This window comes from Homo sapiens, chromosome 11 (assembly GCF_000001405.40).
Source record: "Homo sapiens chromosome 11, GRCh38.p14 Primary Assembly".
Classification (NCBI taxonomy): Eukaryota; Metazoa; Chordata; class Mammalia; order Primates; family Hominidae; genus Homo; species Homo sapiens.
In genome coordinates, this window is record NC_000011.10 from 124,882,213 (window position 1) to 124,900,112 (window position 17,900).

Below are 17,900 nucleotides of genomic sequence, written 5' to 3' on the forward strand. Positions count from 1 at the left end.
AGGCAAGAAGGAAGAGCATGCTTTTTCAAACCATCTGACTCCGTCACAGAGGGTATGTACAAATGGGCAGCTCTTGGTGGGCCCAGATGTGATTGGGTTGATGGGCACAGAACTGTTAAGACTTTTTTGTGGTGAATGCCGTGGTCCTCGTCACCTCCTGCCCTGCATCCCGTGTGCTCACTGGTGACCTGAGGTTTTGTTCCTTCTCGCTTGCTCCACCCTTGACTCAGTGACTTCCCTGGACTCTCTGGGATTGGCAGCTGCCCTCCAGTCCCAGGCCCTGACCTCGTCTGCCCCTTTGACCTGTGAGTGTACAAATCTCTCTTTCCCTTTCAGTCTGGCAAACAGGGTTGGGATGTTTTCAAAAGGAATTTTACCAGGAAGCTAAAAAGAAACCAAAACAACCTCCTCCCCGCAACTGCCACAAAATCCAGATAAGGAAAAGCAAATACAGAGGAACAGATGTGTATGTGGAATACTGATTCTTCCTCCTGAGATCACAAAAATCTGGCCCAGACTGTCCTGATTAATGTGGTTCAGGAAGCCCCCAGTCCCCATGGTCCTGCCTCATTCAGCCTCTCAACTCCCAGTGGCCTCCAAGTAGAGCTGCTGGGTTTGAGGGATGAGCACCCCCTTTTAGGCTCTGCTTCCTGTGGCCCTGTCATGCTCTGTAGCATCCCCTCCACCAACTTGTGGATTCTGCCCCCGACCTTTCCCGCCAAGGGAGGAAGACGCAGGCCTGCCTACCCTCCAGTGCCTCCTGTGGCTCAGGCCCTGGAAGTCCTGCTTCGAGGTTCATCTCTCTGTTCTGTTTTTTTCTTTGAAGGGTGTTCCTAAGCCAACCGTGACAGGTGGTTCTACCTTTTCTGGAGTTCAGCTGCTTTGTCTATTTTAAGAAACCATCTGGGACTGCTGAAAGCAGTTTTCTCCTCAGGATGGGTGAAATCAAGGGGTTAATTTGATCAAGTCTGCCTGCCCTGCTTGCTTTTTGTTTTTTCCCTTTTTCCATGGAGCACAAAGCTTCTTTGGTAGCTGAAGGCCTCGCTGCTGAATGTGGAAACAACCTTCACTGGCTACTTTATAGGTAACATTCATAGGTCACTATGAGAATGGGCGCTACAGTCATTTTTCAGGAACTTGGGACAGCTCTTGTCCAGCTCAAACCAATCGAGACCACCGACTTTTCTACTGGGCCTCTGCAAGTGCTCGAGGGGTGGCCTTTTGACATCGGAGGGCCAAAAACTCCACCCTCAGATCATAACACAACCATTTTCTTTTCTTTTTTTTTTTTCTTTTTTTTTTTTTGAGACCGAGTCTCTCTCTCTCACCCAGGCTGGAGTGCAGTGGGCGATCTCGGCTCACTGCAAGCTCCGCCTCCCGGGTTCACACCATTCTCCTGCCTCAGCTTCCTGAGTAGCTGGGACTACAGGCTCCCGCCACCACGCCTGGCTAATTTTTTGTATTTTTTTTTTTTTTTTAGTAGAGACGGGGTTTCACCATGTTAGCCAGGATGGTCTCGATCTCCTGACCTCATGATCTGCCTACCTCCGCCTCCCAAAGTGCTGGGATTACAGGCGTGAGCCACCGTGCCCAGCCAGCAAAACAATTTTCTACACAAATGTCCTTATGAAATGCCATGAACCCCAAGTACACTTGGGCAGAATGAACCTATTACTTCATTTTCCCCACAGCCAATCACCCTTCCCCATGCCTTAGACCATCCCACTTCCCTCAGCCATAAATATCCCTAAGGCTTATCTTGAGGAGGTGGATTTAATATAAGTTGCCAGGACCAGCAGACCCTGAAACTCCCCACCCCTGCCCTTCCTATATTCTGCTTAAAATTTGGTGGATGAACCTCATTCTCCCTTTAATTGCAGAACAGAAATGTGTGACACTCCCTGAGTGTCAATGAATGCCTGATCCCTGCCTAACTCAGGAAATTCTTGCCATCTCTCCAGGTGCTCCCCTAAAAATGGTGCTCCGGGGAATGATCTCACAGAACTCAAGTCTTTACCATTTTATGGTATCAAATTTCTTAAGCTCATAGTGACAACAGTACGAGGATGGTGCTTTTGACCTACGGTCTCATACCTCCCTTCCTTCAGCATCCTCGCTAGACCCAGCCTTGAACCCTTTGTTTGGCATGAGGTAGGGCCTCAGTGCCTCAGTGGCATTCATAATTATTTTCTTTCCATGGTGAGGTTGGGAGAGAGTTGAGCTCTTCTCTAGAGGAGGGGCCCAGGTAAGGCTGAGAGGGGGCTCCGAGAAGCTCCTTCCTCCACAGCCCTCTCCCAGCAGCCACTGCTGTCCTCCACAAAGGCACCTCTGGCTCCTCCACTTCCTGTGATCCAAATGGTGGGGGAAGAGCAGCAGGCAGGGCTGCTCCTCAGGCCAAAACAACCTGGTGGTGGGAGTGGATGGCACAGAGGAGAAAGCAGTGGCTAGGAGTCAGGTGGAGATGATGTTTTGCTCCCTGAGGGCTCCAGGTCAGCTTTGCTCTAATTTTGTTTTCATTTGTTTTCACAATCGTGGAGGGAGAACTCTCTGGAGGCTTGGGAAGGTGGACCCCAGCTGCAGAGAAACACAGGCCAAGACCCACACACCACAGCCCAGGTCTTGTGGGTGGACAGGAGAAGTGGTTCTGATTCCCGTCTGGGAAGTCTCAGGGACACGGTTCAGGAGTAATCTACAGGAGAAGCTGAAGGACAGTGGAGTTATCTCCCTTGCTCCTTATCTCCCTTCCCCAGTGCCAGGCTTCCTCCTGGCTTCTTCCCAGAGGCCCTCTGGTCAAGATGAACACATTAGCCAGGAAGACAGACACTCACCACCAGCCTTGGGCATACGACAGTGGAGCTGACTTCTCTGGGAAGAGATCTGAGAGTCAGGGGGCCAGGGAGGCATCCCCCTTCCCAGCCGCTGGGTGTGGCTGACCTCCATGTCTTCCAACCAGTCTGGCCTCCACTCCCACAGGGGCAGGGAGAGGTTGGGGGTCAGGAAGATCTCATCCCGTGGGGAGGGAGGTGATGAGGCATCTGTCAGGGAGGGTAGAGGTGTCTGTGGGAGGTTGACCTTCAGCCCCTAGGGGCCAGTTTAGTACAGAAAGCTTAGGACCAGCTCAGGGCATGTACCCAGCCCTAAACATAACCTAACCCCAACTCAGCCCATCAGTCCCAGAGGCCACATCCCCAGGGGCCCGATCCATTTGTTTCTTTAGGGAGAAGTGATTGAACTGTTTCCTTCCAGCCCAGCTCTGGCCTTCTATCTGCACTGTCCCTTCACATCCCCATTCCCTGGGCATTCTTCTTCTGCCATCATGGGCACTTCTGTCCTGGATAATCCTTGCCCTCCCATTTACCACAAGCCTGTTTTTTTTTTTTTTGTCGGGGCAAAGGATAGAGTTAAGGTTAGTAAAATGGGGATGGGGGATCTGATGGTGCATGTGGGGAAGGGACACCCAAGGAGCCAAGACCCTGTACTACCTTCTGCTGACATGGAGATAAAGGTCCCACTCTGCTGGGAATGTCAGAGGTGAGCCCAGTGGCTCGTCAGCCCCAGCCACGGACAGGGCAGGAGGATGGGATTGGAAGAGGATGGAGCAACCTTTCCTGGAGACTCAAGTCGGGGTAAGAGGGGAGTCCTAGAGGCAGGGAAATGGACCTACAGTTGGCTGCCTTTAGAACTGGACAATTTGGGCCAGGCTCAGTGGCTCATGCCTATACTCCCAACACTTTGGGAGGCTGAGGTGGGTAGATCACTTGAGGTCAGGAGTTCAAAACCAGCCTGGCCAACATGGTGAAACCCCGTCTCTACTAAAAATACAAAAAAATTAGCTGGGCATGGTGGTAGGTGCCTGTAATCCCAGCTACTCGGGAGGCTGAGGCAGGAGAATCTCTTGAACCTGGGAGGCAGAGGTTGCAGTGAGCTGAGATCATGCCACTGCCTGGGCAAACAAACAAAACAAAAACAAACAAACAAACAAAAAGAATTGGACAATTTGTCCTTGTTCTGTGGGTGAACTTGGGCAAGCCAATAAAATTATCTGACTTACAGTTTCCTCATTAGGATAAGAGAGATAAAGAATATTCCACATAGACTTTCAATATTAAATGTATGCAAAGCACTTATCATAGTGCCTGAGATACAATAATCATTCAATAAAACTAGTTGTTTTAACAATGATGACATGATAACAGTTGTTAGAAAGGCAAGGGGCATGAGTGAGGAGTAAGATGGGGAGACCTCACATACCTATGAAGACGCAGTCTGCCTCCCTGGGCTCTAGACCGAAACCAAAGCTATCCACAGCCACTGCCAGGGCCCGGGCAAAGTGAGCATCAGCGAGGAAGGAGCCATCGGAGGAGCTGACAAGGCTGGCTCTGGCGCTGGCGGCATTGTCCTCAGAGGCTGAGCCCCAACCATTGGCTAAGGAGCCCTCGCTGGGGGTGGGGGTGAGGCAGGGCCGAGGTGGGCACAGCAAGACTCCCCCCTTGGGCCCCACCCCTCCTCCAGTCCTGCCCATGTCCGTGAACTCTGAGGCTGTTGGGACGCTGATGTACCCATAGGTGGTGGGGGGTGAAGGAGCCCTTGGCATGGGAGAGACGCTGTTCCTAGGGAGAGGCAAAAGGGGAGACAGCAATGGTTTGGGTGGAATGAGGGTTGTAGTAACAGAAAAGCCCCAGTTGAGGGAGGGCGGAATGGGTGGAGAGGCGCTTGCCCCCACAGCTTTTCTGTAGTTCTTTGGTTATCTCTCAAGCTACTCACCTGGGAGTCTCCTCACCCTCACTGAGTTCCAAGCACAGGGCTACCTCCTCAGGGGTCAGCACGCTGTCTTGATCCTCCCCCAGGGATGACAGTGAGGAGCTGGACAGGCGACTGGAAGCTGGGCTGGGGCCAGAGAGGGAAGAGGCCTGGGGGCTAGGGGGACTGCAGGGGCTAAGGATGGGGATGGGGGCTGCTGGCAGCAGGATGGAGGAGGGAGCCTGTGGTGCCACCGGAGGCCTGATTTGCGGGAGAGAGTGATGGCACCGTAGTTACTACAGCTCTTCAAGTCCTTTCCCCCCTTCCCCAGCCTGTCCAATCCCGGCACACACTCCCCACACCCCCACTCTCCCAGCCCTGCTTCCCGACCCCATGCCCTCTTACTGGGTCTGTTGACTCTGAGTTGGGGGAGTTTCATGAGGAAAGAGGGGTGCTGGAGGGAGATGACGAGTAACCAGCTCATTTGAGGAGCTGAGGAGTTTCGGTCCCAGGGCCCGCCAGGCAACCAGAGCTTGGGGCACAGCTCCTGGGGAAGAGAAGCCTGGGTGTGAGAACAGTGGCATCCCCATCTGCTCTGGAGCTCAGCCTGCCGGCCTGCCCACCAGCCCCCTTAGCTACCTGTCCACTACTCCATCCAACCCTCATCAGCCTCCTCAGGGAAAGGAGGATGAGCCCGTGGGAGGGCCCTGGGCTGGTAAGCCCCTGCATCCCTACACCCTATCTCACCCCTTCACTTCCCTTTCAGGGACCCCCTCTCACCTGGGCTTTGGGAAAGGTTCTTGGAACCTCTATTTCCTAACTCACAGGCCCGGAGCTCCAAGGAGTGGCTGCCCCGGAGCAGTGGGGAACTGTTGGCATGCTGCAGCTCTGCAAAGAAAGGGTTGGTGGTTGTGGGGCCCAGGATGGACTTTTCAGACCCCAGCTGCTGGCTCTATCTTCAGCCTTATTCAATTCAGCCTGCACGACCCTGAACCCAGAGAAAAGAGGGGGAACCCCCTGAATCCCCTCCACACCCCCATCTTCATCCAGCAGCTGTGATAGGGTAGAAGGAGCACTAGGCTTGGGGTCAAAAGACCTGCCCAGCTCAGCTGTGTGACTTCAGGGCAGTCCATGTACCTTTCTGAGTCTCAGTTTCATGTGTAAACAACCACTTCGAATGATGGTCTTGACAATTAAGTAAAAACAGATTGCACAAGTTCTTGGCCTTGATAGATGCTTTAAAAAACAACTTTCTTTTCCTTGACTGTATTCATTCCAATCTTCCTGATCTCTATACCCTCACATTGCTACTCTCATGAATTTTGGCTCAGTAAGAAAAATACTCCTTCTTTTCTTGGACAGAATCTATTAATTTCCATTTCTCACATTGCAAATATCTCACATGGCTCTGGATAGCCCTGCTCTGGGAAACTCGACTGTCTCTCACTTGAAAGATGGGGTAGACTGTCAGGTTGAGCTGAGTGGGTAGGACAAAAACAGGGATCGACACACAATGTTGGCTGTGACAGGAGACAGTCAGCTAATAGGAAGAGGAACTTCAGAGTGGGAAAAGGTATTGGTCTATCCCAGGGACGCAATGCCCTGCCCATACTTTTTGTTGAATGAAAGAGTGAATGCATGGGTGATATCAGAAATGTGGATATAAACACACAGTGAGAAGAGTCACCTAGAAGATGGAAGCTGTCATCTGGCCCACATGGGCAGTGGAGAGACAGGGCTCTGAGTGAACTTTCACAACAGAGAAGCTGGAAACTAAAGAGACAGCCCTAACTATGTGCAATGACCTGTGAGCATGCTTCTTGGTCAGACCAGAATGCAAAAGGGATCTAAGTTTAAGCCAGAGAGGAATAGGGTAATACAGGAGAGAGATTTTTCCAGGAGCAGGAACCTGAAGAACATCAGACAAAGGAGAAAAGAAACAGCCTTTAGATTAGTGTCCCATGACCAGAAGCCCAGCTAGGAAAGAGTTTCCCCTCTTGGTGGACCAGGGACCAGGCAGGACCTTCAGGGTAGAGCTATCTAGTCAGTCACATATCAGAGATCTGGGGGCCACTACGGGCAGCTTCAGAGAAGGGAAGTGAGCCAGGCTTTGGCATTGACCAAGACCCCATTTATGTACTAGTGGCCAGACCTTCTGATCCTTTAGGATGAAAACTCATCAATGACTAGACTCCCTCCGTCAAAGTTTCCTTTGGTACTTTGGCTGTTTGGTTTTTATTGATTTTCTATAGCTTTCATATGACCCAGGTAATCTGGGGAGCCAACTTCAGGGTTGGTGCACCAACTCTGCTATCATCAGCTATGTCTTGTCTGGTGCCTGGCTTCTTGACTAAGCTCAGAAATATGAGCACAAGTTGGTTGGCTGGTTTGAGTGGAAAGGGAAAGAAAACAGCCAGGCCTGGAAAAGGCCACTTTTATCCTAGCCTGTTTCACTTCCTCTAAGGGACTCTGGTAACAAAAGCCCTCCTCCTATGTTGCTTGGAGTTACTTGGACTTTAGTTTCAATTCTAATTGAATAAACTGGACAAGAAAAATGTTATCAAGGTGAAAGGTTGAAACTCATTGGTCAAATTGCAATAAATATTTGTTTGAATAAAATAATGAATGAATGAGGATATTCAGTGCATATATCTGGCAAACTGAGCAGAACTAAGAACCTGCTATGATGGATGAGAGACAGGAGACTGTAATTGTGAGGATATCAGCACTGGAGAAGAAACCCCAACTAAGGCCAAATAATAAGAAAAAGGAACAAGCAGGTCAAGGGGAGTGGGTGGTACTGGGAGAGCCTGCCAGTTTTAGAAGAGGAAGAAACAGCAGTAGAATCAACTCCATGGGTCTGGAGAAGACCATAGCATGATCTTGTTGCTGCTGAGGTCCTGGGAGGTAGAGGTAGAATATCTAGTGTCTACCAGCCAAGGAGTCGCTGCAGTTGACCTATCCTGGGGGCAGTGGTGAGATGGGGCTGGAGCGAGGAGAAACAGGGAGTGAAGTAAGGACCTAAACCACAGGCTAGGAAGCCTCATCTCAGAATTGGAACCCTTCTTAAGAACTGGCTGTAGAAAACCACTCACCTCTTTCCAGTAGCATTACTGTTCTAAGAGGGGCTATCCATTCCATTAAAGTTGGTGTAGTTCTCCCTGGGAAGGCTGTTTTTTAAATGAGACTATTCCACCTTTTTTTTAGCTGGTGTTTCGTTACCACCAAGGATTTATAATGCAATAGCTCTGAGGCAAAGCTGGTAAGAATGCCAGCTTCGCTGATATTTACAGTCATAAAATTCTGGATATTGAACAAGCTGTTAATTATCTTAATCCATCTTTGTCTTATTAAAAGTTGGATTAAATCCACTTAAAAAAAAGACTTGGCTGTAGAACATTTGTTAGGTCTTACTAATTAGTACAGAAGACTCAAGAAGACAGCAGGTAGATTGCAGGCCAATGTTCTGCAGGCCAGAAATAGGAAAAAATACTCAAAGAGAGAATAGGATTTCCTGAGGGAGCTCCAGAGAGACTCAGAATCACTTCAGAGGCAGACTATCCTGCCTTCAGATTTGAGTCCTGCAGCTAATTACTTGCAGAATTTTGAACCAGTAACTCAATCATTCTGACCCTCTTCCTGTCTGTAAAATTAGAGAAATAGTAGCTAGCCAATCTATTGTGAGGATTAAATGAAATAACAAACATAAGTAAAGCACCTAGTATATAGCAATTGATAAAAAATGGAGGCTATAATTATTTTTCTCTGAAAAGTCTAAGAATGCAGCTGGGAGTCAGGAGATAAACCTGTCCAGAAAGGAAATACCCATTCCTCTCTGAGAAGTGAGTTGGGAGTCGGTGCCCAAGCACACCTGTACATAGTACACCAGGAGATGAGCTCGTGGGAGCCTGAGGCTTTGTGCCAGCACTGGTCACATTCCCCCAGGCTCTAGCATTACTTGTTTGCTAGTCAACACTTTCGTTAGACAGGCCCTGAGCCCTTAGAAGTCAGGGGCTGTGTCTGACGTCTCTTGTGTTCCCCATGTTTGGCATGCAGTGGTGCTTATTAAACGTTTGCTGAGTTGAATTGAGTGCAGAATTAGGGCTCACTGCTGGTGTAGCCAAACTGAAACAAGAGCACAGTGCAAAAAGCTGAGGCTATTGCACCCCTAGCTGAGTGCTCTGGTGGTAGGAGAAAGAGGTCTTGTGTCCACCTGGAGAGGAGAATGGAAGGAGGGTGTGGAGGTTGCACGCCCCTCCAGGCTTTGAGGCCTTGTTCCCATCACATTCCCATTCCTGGGCCCGCCTACCACCAGCTCAGTCTATGTCTATTCTCCCCCTCCTTACCCTGCTTCTTTTTGGCCTTCCAAGCCTCTGCAGGGGCCAGAGACAAGCGGGGAGAAGAGAGTCCCCTGCGGCTGCAGAGGCTGTCTGAGCTGGAACAGGGGCTGGAGAGCTGGGCCAGCTGGGGTGGGAGGCGCCTGACAGCTGGGACCTGGGGACTTGGCCTGGCTGGGGTACTGGAGGGCAGCTCAGCGATGAGGGAGCCATAAAAAGTGCTGGTGTCTGGAAGCAGGGGCACGCCGGGGCTTCGGGAGTCCCAGGAGAGCACTGTGACATAAATGACAGGAGGAATTATGGTGAGCATGTCCTGCTTTCCATCCCTGAGATCACTGCCCCCAGCTAGGCCCTTGCCCCCACTGAGCATGCTCACAGGAGCGACGACAGTCTAGTGGGTCCCGGGCATCCGCCCCCAGCCGACTGCTGAGGCTGCTGCTGCTGCTCAGGTCCCGAGAGCCAGAGGTGGAACGCCAAGTGTCTGCCAACCACTGGGAGTCACTGTGATCCATCCTGGGGCAGTGGAGGGAGGGGGTGAGGCCAGGAGAAACAGGGAGAAGTGAGAACCTTTTTGGCCAAGACTTCCTGTTCAGAGGCAGCAGAAGAGGGCAAGGAGATGGTGGCTTTATCCTTACTACTGCTTTTCAGCTTTTCACAGACTCCTTAAGATCTCTGACCTGGTCCCCTAAACCCAGCACCCCTTTCTTATTCCTGGATGAGGGGAAATCCGAGTCACCCAGAGCTGGGAGGTAGTAATGACAGACAGCTATGTATGCTGAGGTAAAAAGAAGACCTGAAGACAAATCTGGTTTGACAATCTCTATCTGTCACAGCTTAGCTTGGGTAAGTACATCTGTTGCACTTGGGTAAGTACATCCTCTCTAAGCCCCAGTTTTCTCATCTGTAAAATGATGGCAATAGGGCCTTCCACACTCAAGACTGATGGTCTGGGTTTATATGAGGAAATGTGAGATCACTCAGCTGGCAGAGCAGGAGCTTGCTCCATGGATATTGGCCTCTGGCTGCCTGAGTGATCCTTCAAGAACAGGGATCTGAGCAAGGAGCTTCTCTGCGTAAGACCTTCAATGGCCCCTCATTTACCATGATAGAGCCCAGGTACCTAGCATGGCTAAGAGGACCTTCCTTGGTCTGGCTTCCAGCTCCCTAACTATAGCCTTTGCTCTGACCCATCTCACACCCTATACCCGAGCCAGAACAAATGGTTTGTCTTTCCCTGTGGACATAGCAGGCTATTACTTGCTGCTTCATTGCTCTTCTCTCCATCCCCTTCTTACTGTCAGGGTAATGTGGAATCTTCTTTCTCCTATGTTTTTCCACATTGACCCCCTCCATGTGTCTTGTACCTGCTTCTGCGTGGCCAATACAGGATTGCACTCATATCCCCTCATGCCTGTCTCTGCCTACACTGAGAGATTCTGGCAGGTGGAGGCTATTCCAAAGGAAAGAATGAACCAAAGATCAGAAGGAATCTCCCTCAAGGACAGAGCAGGAGATCCTAGGGAAGCCACAGAAAGCTTAAGGCAGAGCAGACAAAGCCAGGAGGTAGCTGGAAGAAAGAAGCCAGTGAGCTCAGAAAACTCAAAACACAACACCAGCCAGCTTGGACCCCTGCTCTGGGCTGAGGACCTGACAGTGAAATGGCAGCTCTAGGCCTGGATTTGCTGGCACATAGTAGGTGCTCAGTAACTTCTGTGGATAGATGCAGACCTGGAGTGGGAAGCCTCCCAGAGGAGATCTAGCGAAATAAAGAGCCAAGAAGGCAGACAGAGAGATGAGGCGGTTACTTAGTACAAAACTCAGACAACGGGAGCAAGAAGGATGTGTTCTCTATCAGCATGATGTCCCAGAACTGCAGACTTGTTCTGGCAGCCGAATATACCGGAAGCAGAAGGGCCCATGGGCAGATCCTGTTTTTGAGAACAGTGAGGAAGAATCTATGATGTAGGCACTGAACACCCTCTGCTGGAGCTGCGGGTGGACTATGATGTAGGCACAATGGCTCAGTGAGAGAATTACTGAGTGCAAAGGCACTACTTGGTAGACCATGGGTGCACGCATAAGATGAGACATTTGAGGTGGTCGTCTCATGCTGATTATTCTCCACCTAGCGGGTGAGGCAGCAGGAGAGGTGGGGTGACAAGAGTCCTGGATTGGGGGTTTAGAAGGTTTTATGAGTTTCAGTTTACTAGTCTGTCAAGTGGTGTGATAGGAATATTAATGACAGAGAAATGAACTATCAGTTGGAGTTACAGGAGAGATTCATGTACGACAGTCCCAAACTCCCTGGCAGGTAGACTAGTACTCCATTCTTCTCTGTTGCAGCTCCACTGTCCCTTGCCACCCTCCCTTACTTCAGACCTCCCCTTTCACCTCTCACCTGTGTTTTAGGATGGCATCCTCACTGGTATATCTGTACAGACCTGGGAGAAGGCAGGAGGAAAGCTAAATCCAGAGGCTGGATCACCTGGTCAGAGATCCAAAGCCCCTGCACCATTCTGGCTGGATGCTGAGGAGGCCTGTATACATGTGGGTCCCCCTCAGACTCTCACCTGGGCCCAGGTGCACCCTAGCTCGGCGCCGGCGGTGGATACACACGGCGGTGCCCAGAAGCAGCAGCCAGAGTGCAACACCGCAGGTGGCAATGACCTCAGGCCGCTTCAAGGTAGCCCTCAGCTGCTCCAGGGTCCAGGGACCATGCTCACTGGGTTCTTGGGTGGCTCGCTCCATGGCCTGCTCTGTATGGGATGCAGAGCTCAGAGGGAGAGGGAGTCGAGGCATTGAGGGCCTGGCAGGCAAGGGGGAAGAGCTGGAAGTGTGAGGCGGGAGCAGGGAGAGAGGAAGGCGGGATGCAGGCTGAAGGGTAGGGTGGGTCTGTGGGCACTGCCCTCACCTAAAAGGAGGCAGACAGGTCTACTGGGCTCCCCAGCTCCAGCACCAGTGACTGCAGCCACTTGCACGCAGTAGGAGCCTGGCATATGGGTGGCGATTTCCAGCTGGGTCTGCTCACCAACTACAGTCCAGTTGGCTGGTGGCAGTGATGTGTTGCCCAGGCTCCAGACCTGAGGCACAAGCAGAGGTGAACAGCTTCCCCAGGCACCATCCCAGAAGCCAAGCCCTTTATCTGCAGATCAGACTCCAGGGGTGTGGTTATTCTGCCCTGCCATCCACTTGGGGAATGCACCCAATTTCCTATTCCCCTCCTATTCTCCCTACCAAGTGAGAGATACCTCTCTCTAGATCAACAGTAGAAGGGCACAAGCAAGCTGCTAAAACACATGTAACATAGCAATTCTCAAACAACAGCGTGCTTCCAAGTCACCAGGGGGGCCTGCTATAGTACAGTTTGCCAGGCCCATCTCTGAGTTTCTGATTTATGAGGCCTGGGAAAGGATCTGAGGGTTTGTATTCCTAACAAGGTCCTGGGTGAGGCTGATGTTGCTGCTCTAGAAGTCAAACTTTGAGCCCCACTCCCTGACTCACAGCCTGGTTTGATCTACTCTGTTTCTTATTCCTGTGGCCTTTGCCCCACTTTCCATGTCTGTAAATTGGGGATAATACCCCAGGGTGGACTGTGAGGTAAAACGGGATCATGGAGGTCAAGTGCTTGGCAGGGTCTGGAAGCCAGTGGGTCCTTGCTCAGCAAAAGCAGGTTTCCTTTGCTTCTCTGCCCAGGTACCTTTCTCAGTGCCCAGAGCAAGGGTATGCAGAACTCCAGAGAAAAGAGATGTCCTGGCAGCAGTAGGAAGGGCTATGACAGCTAGTGGGGGTACCTGGTAGCCACGGATGATGCCATTGTGGTTTTCAGCAGGTGGTGGGACCCAGCTCACAAAGACAGTGCCATTGCCAGGCTTTAGAGTCACTTCCTGAGGTGGGGCACTGGGCACTGGAGGGGTGGAAGAGAGACTATGAGGGGCTCTGAGGGAGAGGACTCTAGGGAAAGGAGCTGGGCTGGGGGACACAGCGTCAGAACCCTACTGAAGAGACAAGAAGCCTCTTGAAGCTCTGCTGGCCTGGCCAGGGCAGAAGGGAGTCCCAGGGTAGGACCCATAATCTCCCCTCAAGACTGAAGCAGAACAGTCCAGGGGCCCCCAAATAAGAAGGAGCCAGAGGGGATATTGTTGGCTTCTGAAGGGATCAGGCCCTGACCTTTTTCCGGCAGCCTCAGGAGCAGCACGTTGCTGTCAGGGCCTCGAGCCCGGCCAGAGGATGGTCTCACTTTGAACTCGTAGTCTTGGCCCCAGTGGAGGCCTCCAAGCTCTGCGCTCTGCCAGCCGGCCAGCAGCTCCTCTGCCCACGGAGCTCCCTGGCCTCCCGGGGCAGTCTGGGTCCTGAACAAGGCCGTGTAAGATTGGGCAGGCGCAGCAGGGCCACTGACCTGGGAAGGAGTTTCGAGGAAGGGCGGGGGGTCAGAGAGCTCAGGAACGCCCTTTCTTGAGCTCTGGATCGGCTTTTACCCTTAGCACCTGGTCCTCACCTTCCAGCTGAGCCACACCGCCGGTCTAGGCTTGGGGCCCTCTGCAGGATCCGGGTTCAGCAGTGTCACATTTTCCAGCTGAATTCGCACAGCCAGAAGCTCCACAGGCTCCGTGTAGTCCTGGGGCTCTGTGGGGAGGATAGGGCTGGGCTGGGGCTTATAGGCCAGAGTGACAGAACTGAGGCGTGGAACATCCCTCAGCCAGGGAGGAACCCCAGGGAACCCAAACTCCCAGAGTCTCCAGGTCTTGAGCATTCCGATTTCTACTCTAGCAGGGGGGAACCTCCCGCTACGTGAGACCCCCAGCACTTTGACCCTGACCCCACATACCTTAACCCCAGCCCAAACCAGAATACACCACCCCAACTGGAGCCTGCAGCCTGGCTCTGATTGTAGCCCACCCCTGCCCTTACCCTGGATGGAAACCCGGGCTGCGCGGCTCTCCCTATGTCCTGCGCTGTTGGTGGCCACACACATGTAGGTCCCTTCGTCACTCTTCTCTGCTCTTGCCATCAGCAGGGACCCCCCGGACACCTGTCAGGGCCAGGTTCACTGTGAAGTCTCCTATGTGGGGAGGGGCTCTGAGCTGGGGGGAAGTTTGAGGCCCCCTGCTCTCCCCTCCTCAAATTCTACCGGAGGATGCGGGGCTGGACGGCAGGTCAGTCCATCAGGGTGTACCCAGGTCTGCCCAGGCCAGGATGAAGTGTGGGGGAGGGGGCCACACTTACTGTGTGCCTTCCGGGCTGGAGGGCCAGGGGTTTCCCATCTTTCCACCATGAGACTGTGGGCTCTGGGTGGCCCCAGGGCGGCCCACATTCCAGAGTAAACTGCTCACCCACCACAGCCACCATGTCCCGAGGCTGGATCTGGAAATCCTCCCGGAGGACTGTGGGGAGGATGGAAGGTGACACGGAGCAGGGCCCAGGCCTCTTCTCTCTCCCTTATCACTCTTGCCCCCTTCTGCTTTGCCCACCTTCCTGGCCTCCCATTTAGGGCCAGCCCCGCCCCAGCTTGCCCTCCCAAGCCTTCCAGCCCAGGCCTCTGCTCACAGGTATCCCACTGACCTCTCAGATGTTCCCTTGAACATTCAGCTCAGATGTCTCCACCCAGGTTTGCCCCACCCTGAAGCTCCCCTCCCAGGCCTCACCAGCCACAGACAGCCGAGCGCCTCTGCTGACTGCCGTGCCAAGCCGGTTGCTGGCCTCACATGTGTAGACACCCAGGTCTGTGGACAGGGCCTGGCCATCGTGGGCATGTCCCCGGGCAGGGGGCTGTAGCAGCAGAAGGGTCCCATCAGGCAGGAGGTGGTGTGGGTCTGGGGGCACCATGCTCAGGGGCTGCCCATTCAGCAACCAGCGGATGGTGGGAGGTGGCTGGCCTGAGGCTTGGCAGCTCATCCTGGCAGGGCCAGGGCCCTGGAACAGCTGGTCCTGGGGGTGGACTAGGATCTGGGGCGGGGAGTCCTGAGCCATGCCTCCTGGGAGGGAAAGGGAGCAGAGCCCAGTCTGATCACCAGCAACACCCCAAATTCCTGGCCCACCCCTCATCTGTCTTCTCTTGTGTGCGAGTTTGCCAGAAAACCTGTAATCTGAACTACTAAAGGTTGCCTCCCAAAGAACAAGCCAGCTAGGAGGAGAGAGGGCCAGCATGCACAGCATCCAGGCCAGGGCTTGCATAGCATGTTCGCTCTCTCTCTCTCTCTCTCTCTCTTACTTTCTCTCTTTCTTTCTTTCTCTCTCAGTCTCTCTTTCCTTCTTTCTCTCTCTGGTGTGTGCGCACATGCACAAACACACATACACTTACACACACTCATCATCATCATCCTCATCCTCATCTCTGGTCCCCCCACTGCAAAAGGGAAGCAGGCAGTCAGCAGGCCCCTTCTGCCCTGAGCAGGCCTTGGATGGAGGAGCATGGGCCAGGAGAGGGAGAGCAACTCACCCATGATGAGCAGGAGCAGCAGAGGCAGGGAACCCCTGCCCCCCAGGAGGCTGTCTCCTCCAGAGCCCATGGCTACTCTCAGCCCTATGTCCTTGTCCCGAGCACTTTGTCCTGCTGCTCTGAGCTCACAGTGAAGAGGGAAGGAGGGGCGGGGTGGGCCGGTGGTGGTTGTTTGTGACCGAGACTCTGCCCCAGGAGGGAAGCGGCTTTGAGGAAACCGATGCTTCCTGCCTGGCCCTCAGTGCCTTGGAGAACTGGGAGGAGACCAGAGGCGAGAAACTCTCTGACCTCGACCATTTAGCTATAACCCCCGACCCTAACTTCAGCGCTAAGCTTTATCTCATGATCTACTCGGGGATTTCTTACAGGGTATCCTTACACTAACCAAAACTCCGATCAGAGCCTTAATCCTCTATTTAAATCTTATCCCTGGATCCCAATCCTTATCCCTTTGACACCTGCTAGAGAAGAGTGAAAACCCCAGGAGTCTCAGGACACAGCAAGAAGCTGAAGACAGAGGGCAGTGGGGCTGCAGGCTGGGGAGGCTGAGTGAAGTGGAGCAGGGGTGGATTGTAACACCCTCATCCATTTCCCCAGTGCCAGATGGACCAGGAGGTGGCGTAGGGTGGGAGACAGGAAGGACTCAGCATCTGGGACAAGCTGGGAGATTACCACAGGGTGTGTCCATATTCAGCTCAGAGATGGATGAAATAAGCTTCTGTGGAGAACTTGGGCAAGTCAGTTTCCTTCTCTGTAAAATGGAAATAATAATAGTAGTTCCTACCTTGAGGGATAAAGTAATGATGAAACACATAAAGCATAAAACCACTGGCATCCAGTGCCTGACTCATTATGAGTGATCCGTAAAGCTGAGCCAACATTGTGTATTTCTTTTTAGGCCCATCCCATCACTGAAACTATTGGAGGATCCTCGGCAGGAGTATTTTTCAGGCCCTGGAAAGGTGGTTGGAGTAAAAGACCTTTTAAGAGTCTTTCCAGTCCCAAGAGCCTGTGTCCATATATGTAGCAGACAGGCCTTGCAGGTTTTGAGCCTACAATGTCAGCTCTTGCCCGCTGCCTCCTTTCCCCCACAACCTAGACAGAGGCCACACTCCCCTGTCAGATCCCAGCTCATGTTTACTGGCCTCTTCCTTCCAAATCTGGAATCTCAGCCATTTCCTGGAGCTGTTCCCGGAAGGCCAAGGCCAGGCTCTGGGGCTCAGCGGAAGAGTATCCAGCCTTTGTTCCCAATTGTTCCTGGCCAGCTTCTCTGCAGGGCCCCTAACCCAGCTGACGCCCTCCCTTCCTCCCCCTTCCCATCCTGGCTTCGGTGCCAGCCACAGACTAACAGCCTGCCAAGTAGAAGTCTCCTTCACTCCTCCTCTTTCCTCTCAAACTCAGACCAATACTGACAAAGACAGAACTGGAGCAAGGAAACACCATGGTCTCTACAAACTGGGGAGTTTGCAGAGGCTAAAGAATAGGCAGAGTGAAAGTCATGGAGTGGCAGAGCTGGAAGGATAGGAATTGGGGCCAGAGAACAGAATGTCACTACCCTTGGCACCTCTAATTCTGAAATCCCAAATTCTGTTCTCTGGCCCCAATTCCTACCCCAAATTCTGTGGGTGTATCCTTACACTAACCATAACTCCAATCAGAGCCTTAATCCTCTATTTAAATCTTATCCCTGGATCCCAATCCTTATCCCTTTACCACCTGCTAGAGAGGAATGAAAACCCCGGGAGTCTCAGGACACAGCAAGAAGCTGAGGACAGAGGGCAGTGGGGCTGCAGGCTGGAGAGGCTGAGTGAAGTGGAGCAGGGGTGGATTGTAACGCCCTGGTCCATTTCCCCAGGGGCAGATGGACCACTAGGTGGAGTAGGGTGGGAGACAAGAAGGACTCAGAGCGTCTGGGATAAGCTGGGAGATTCCCACAGGATGTGTCCATATTCAGCTCAGAGATGGATGAAATCAGCTTCTGTGGAGACCTTGGGCAAATCTGTAAAATGGAAATAGTAATAGTAGTTCTCTGTAAAATGGAAATAGTAATAGTAGTTCCTACCTTGAGGGATAAAGTAATGATGAAATACATAAAGCATAAAACCACTGGCATCCAGTGCCTGATGCATTATGAGTGATCCGTAAAGCTGAGCTAACGTGTATTTATTGTGGGGCAGGCAGAATGGAGTCGAGTTTATGGGGTCAAGGATCTGTGGGGCCAGAGTGATGAAGGGGAGATTCATGTGACACTGAAGTCAGCTGAGGATGAGACAGGAAAGGATGTGGTGGGATTGGAGGATTTACTGCACAGGAGGCCAATTTGGGATTTCCCAGGTACAAAGCCTCCAAGACTGTCTGACTCCCTGACTATCAGCTTATCAAGAATG

The 17,900-nt window shown here is 52.4% G+C and overlaps 1 protein-coding gene and 1 long non-coding RNA gene across 5 annotated transcripts in view, besides 4 other annotated features; one reads left to right on the plus strand and one right to left on the minus strand.

Annotated features, from left to right (window-relative positions):
- Positions 561-855: a silencer, noted in NCBI's record as "tiled region #10426; K562 Repressive non-DNase unmatched - State 21:Repr". NCBI's record gives its function as "represses a minimal TATA promoter and a strong SV40 promoter by Sharpr-MPRA in K562 cells {active_cell/tissue: K562}" and the evidence as "EXISTENCE:reporter gene assay evidence [ECO:0000049][PMID:27701403]".
- On the minus strand, positions 1,479-15,653 carry ROBO4 (roundabout guidance receptor 4). 4 transcript variants are annotated; one of them, NM_001301088.2, is made up of 18 exons: positions 15,514-15,653; positions 14,720-14,843; positions 14,301-14,458; positions 13,986-14,106; positions 13,573-13,700; positions 13,245-13,473; positions 12,869-12,981; positions 11,989-12,157; positions 11,648-11,833; positions 11,476-11,518; positions 9,454-9,590; positions 9,087-9,350; positions 5,521-5,628; positions 5,146-5,287; positions 4,765-5,001; positions 4,252-4,610; positions 2,829-3,035; positions 1,479-2,701 (listed from the first exon to the last, which is right to left on the minus strand). In NM_001301088.2, the coding sequence occupies exons 3-18, from the start codon at positions 14,421-14,423 to the stop codon at positions 2,679-2,681; spliced, it is 2,589 nt and encodes an 862-aa protein (NP_001288017.1). In that variant the 5' UTR covers positions 14,424-14,458; positions 14,720-14,843; positions 15,514-15,653; the 3' UTR covers positions 1,479-2,678. The 4 variants fall into 4 exon arrangements, with proteins under 4 accessions (NP_001288017.1, NP_001428112.1, NP_061928.4 ...); NM_001441183.1 differs by having other exon boundaries at positions 4,765-4,887; positions 14,720-15,049; NM_019055.6 differs by having other exon boundaries at positions 14,720-15,049.
- Positions 3,946-4,460: an enhancer, noted in NCBI's record as "H3K4me1 hESC enhancer chr11:124756054-124756568 (GRCh37/hg19 assembly coordinates)". NCBI's record gives its function as "activates a minimal SCP1, AML or CMV promoter by ChIP-STARR-seq in naive H9 embryonic stem cells {active_cell/tissue: H9 hESC(naive)}" and the evidence as "EXISTENCE:reporter gene assay evidence [ECO:0000049][PMID:30033119]".
- Positions 4,461-4,974: an enhancer, noted in NCBI's record as "H3K4me1 hESC enhancer chr11:124756569-124757082 (GRCh37/hg19 assembly coordinates)". NCBI's record gives its function as "activates a minimal SCP1, AML or CMV promoter by ChIP-STARR-seq in naive H9 embryonic stem cells {active_cell/tissue: H9 hESC(naive)}" and the evidence as "EXISTENCE:reporter gene assay evidence [ECO:0000049][PMID:30033119]".
- LOC107984406 (uncharacterized) overlaps positions 9,587-17,900 on the plus strand; it is a 51,792-nt gene continuing 43,478 nt past the window's right edge. The window contains exon 1 of the long non-coding RNA XR_001748429.3: positions 9,587-9,920. This is a non-coding gene — a long non-coding RNA (uncharacterized LOC107984406). The remainder of the gene's footprint in view (positions 9,921-17,900) is intronic.
- Positions 15,546-16,168: an enhancer, noted in NCBI's record as "H3K4me1 hESC enhancer chr11:124767654-124768276 (GRCh37/hg19 assembly coordinates)". NCBI's record gives its function as "activates a minimal SCP1, AML or CMV promoter by ChIP-STARR-seq in primed H9 embryonic stem cells {active_cell/tissue: H9 hESC(primed)}" and the evidence as "EXISTENCE:reporter gene assay evidence [ECO:0000049][PMID:30033119]".

Excerpts from the sequence above, each read along its gene's own strand:
- ROBO4 (NM_019055.6), bottom strand. The coding sequence starts at position 15,583 with ATGGGCTCTGGAGGAGACAGCCTCCTGGGGGGCAGGGGTTCCCTGCCT. Across the intron at positions 14,459-14,719 it reads CGCTCGGCTGTCTGTGGCTG|TCCTCCGGGAGGATTTCCAG; the intron begins GTGAGGCCTGGG and ends TCCTCCCCACAG. Across the intron at positions 5,629-9,086 it reads GAAGGCCAAAAAGAAGCAGG|AGCTGCAGCATGCCAACAGT; the intron begins GTAAGGAGGGGG and ends CTTTCTTTGCAG.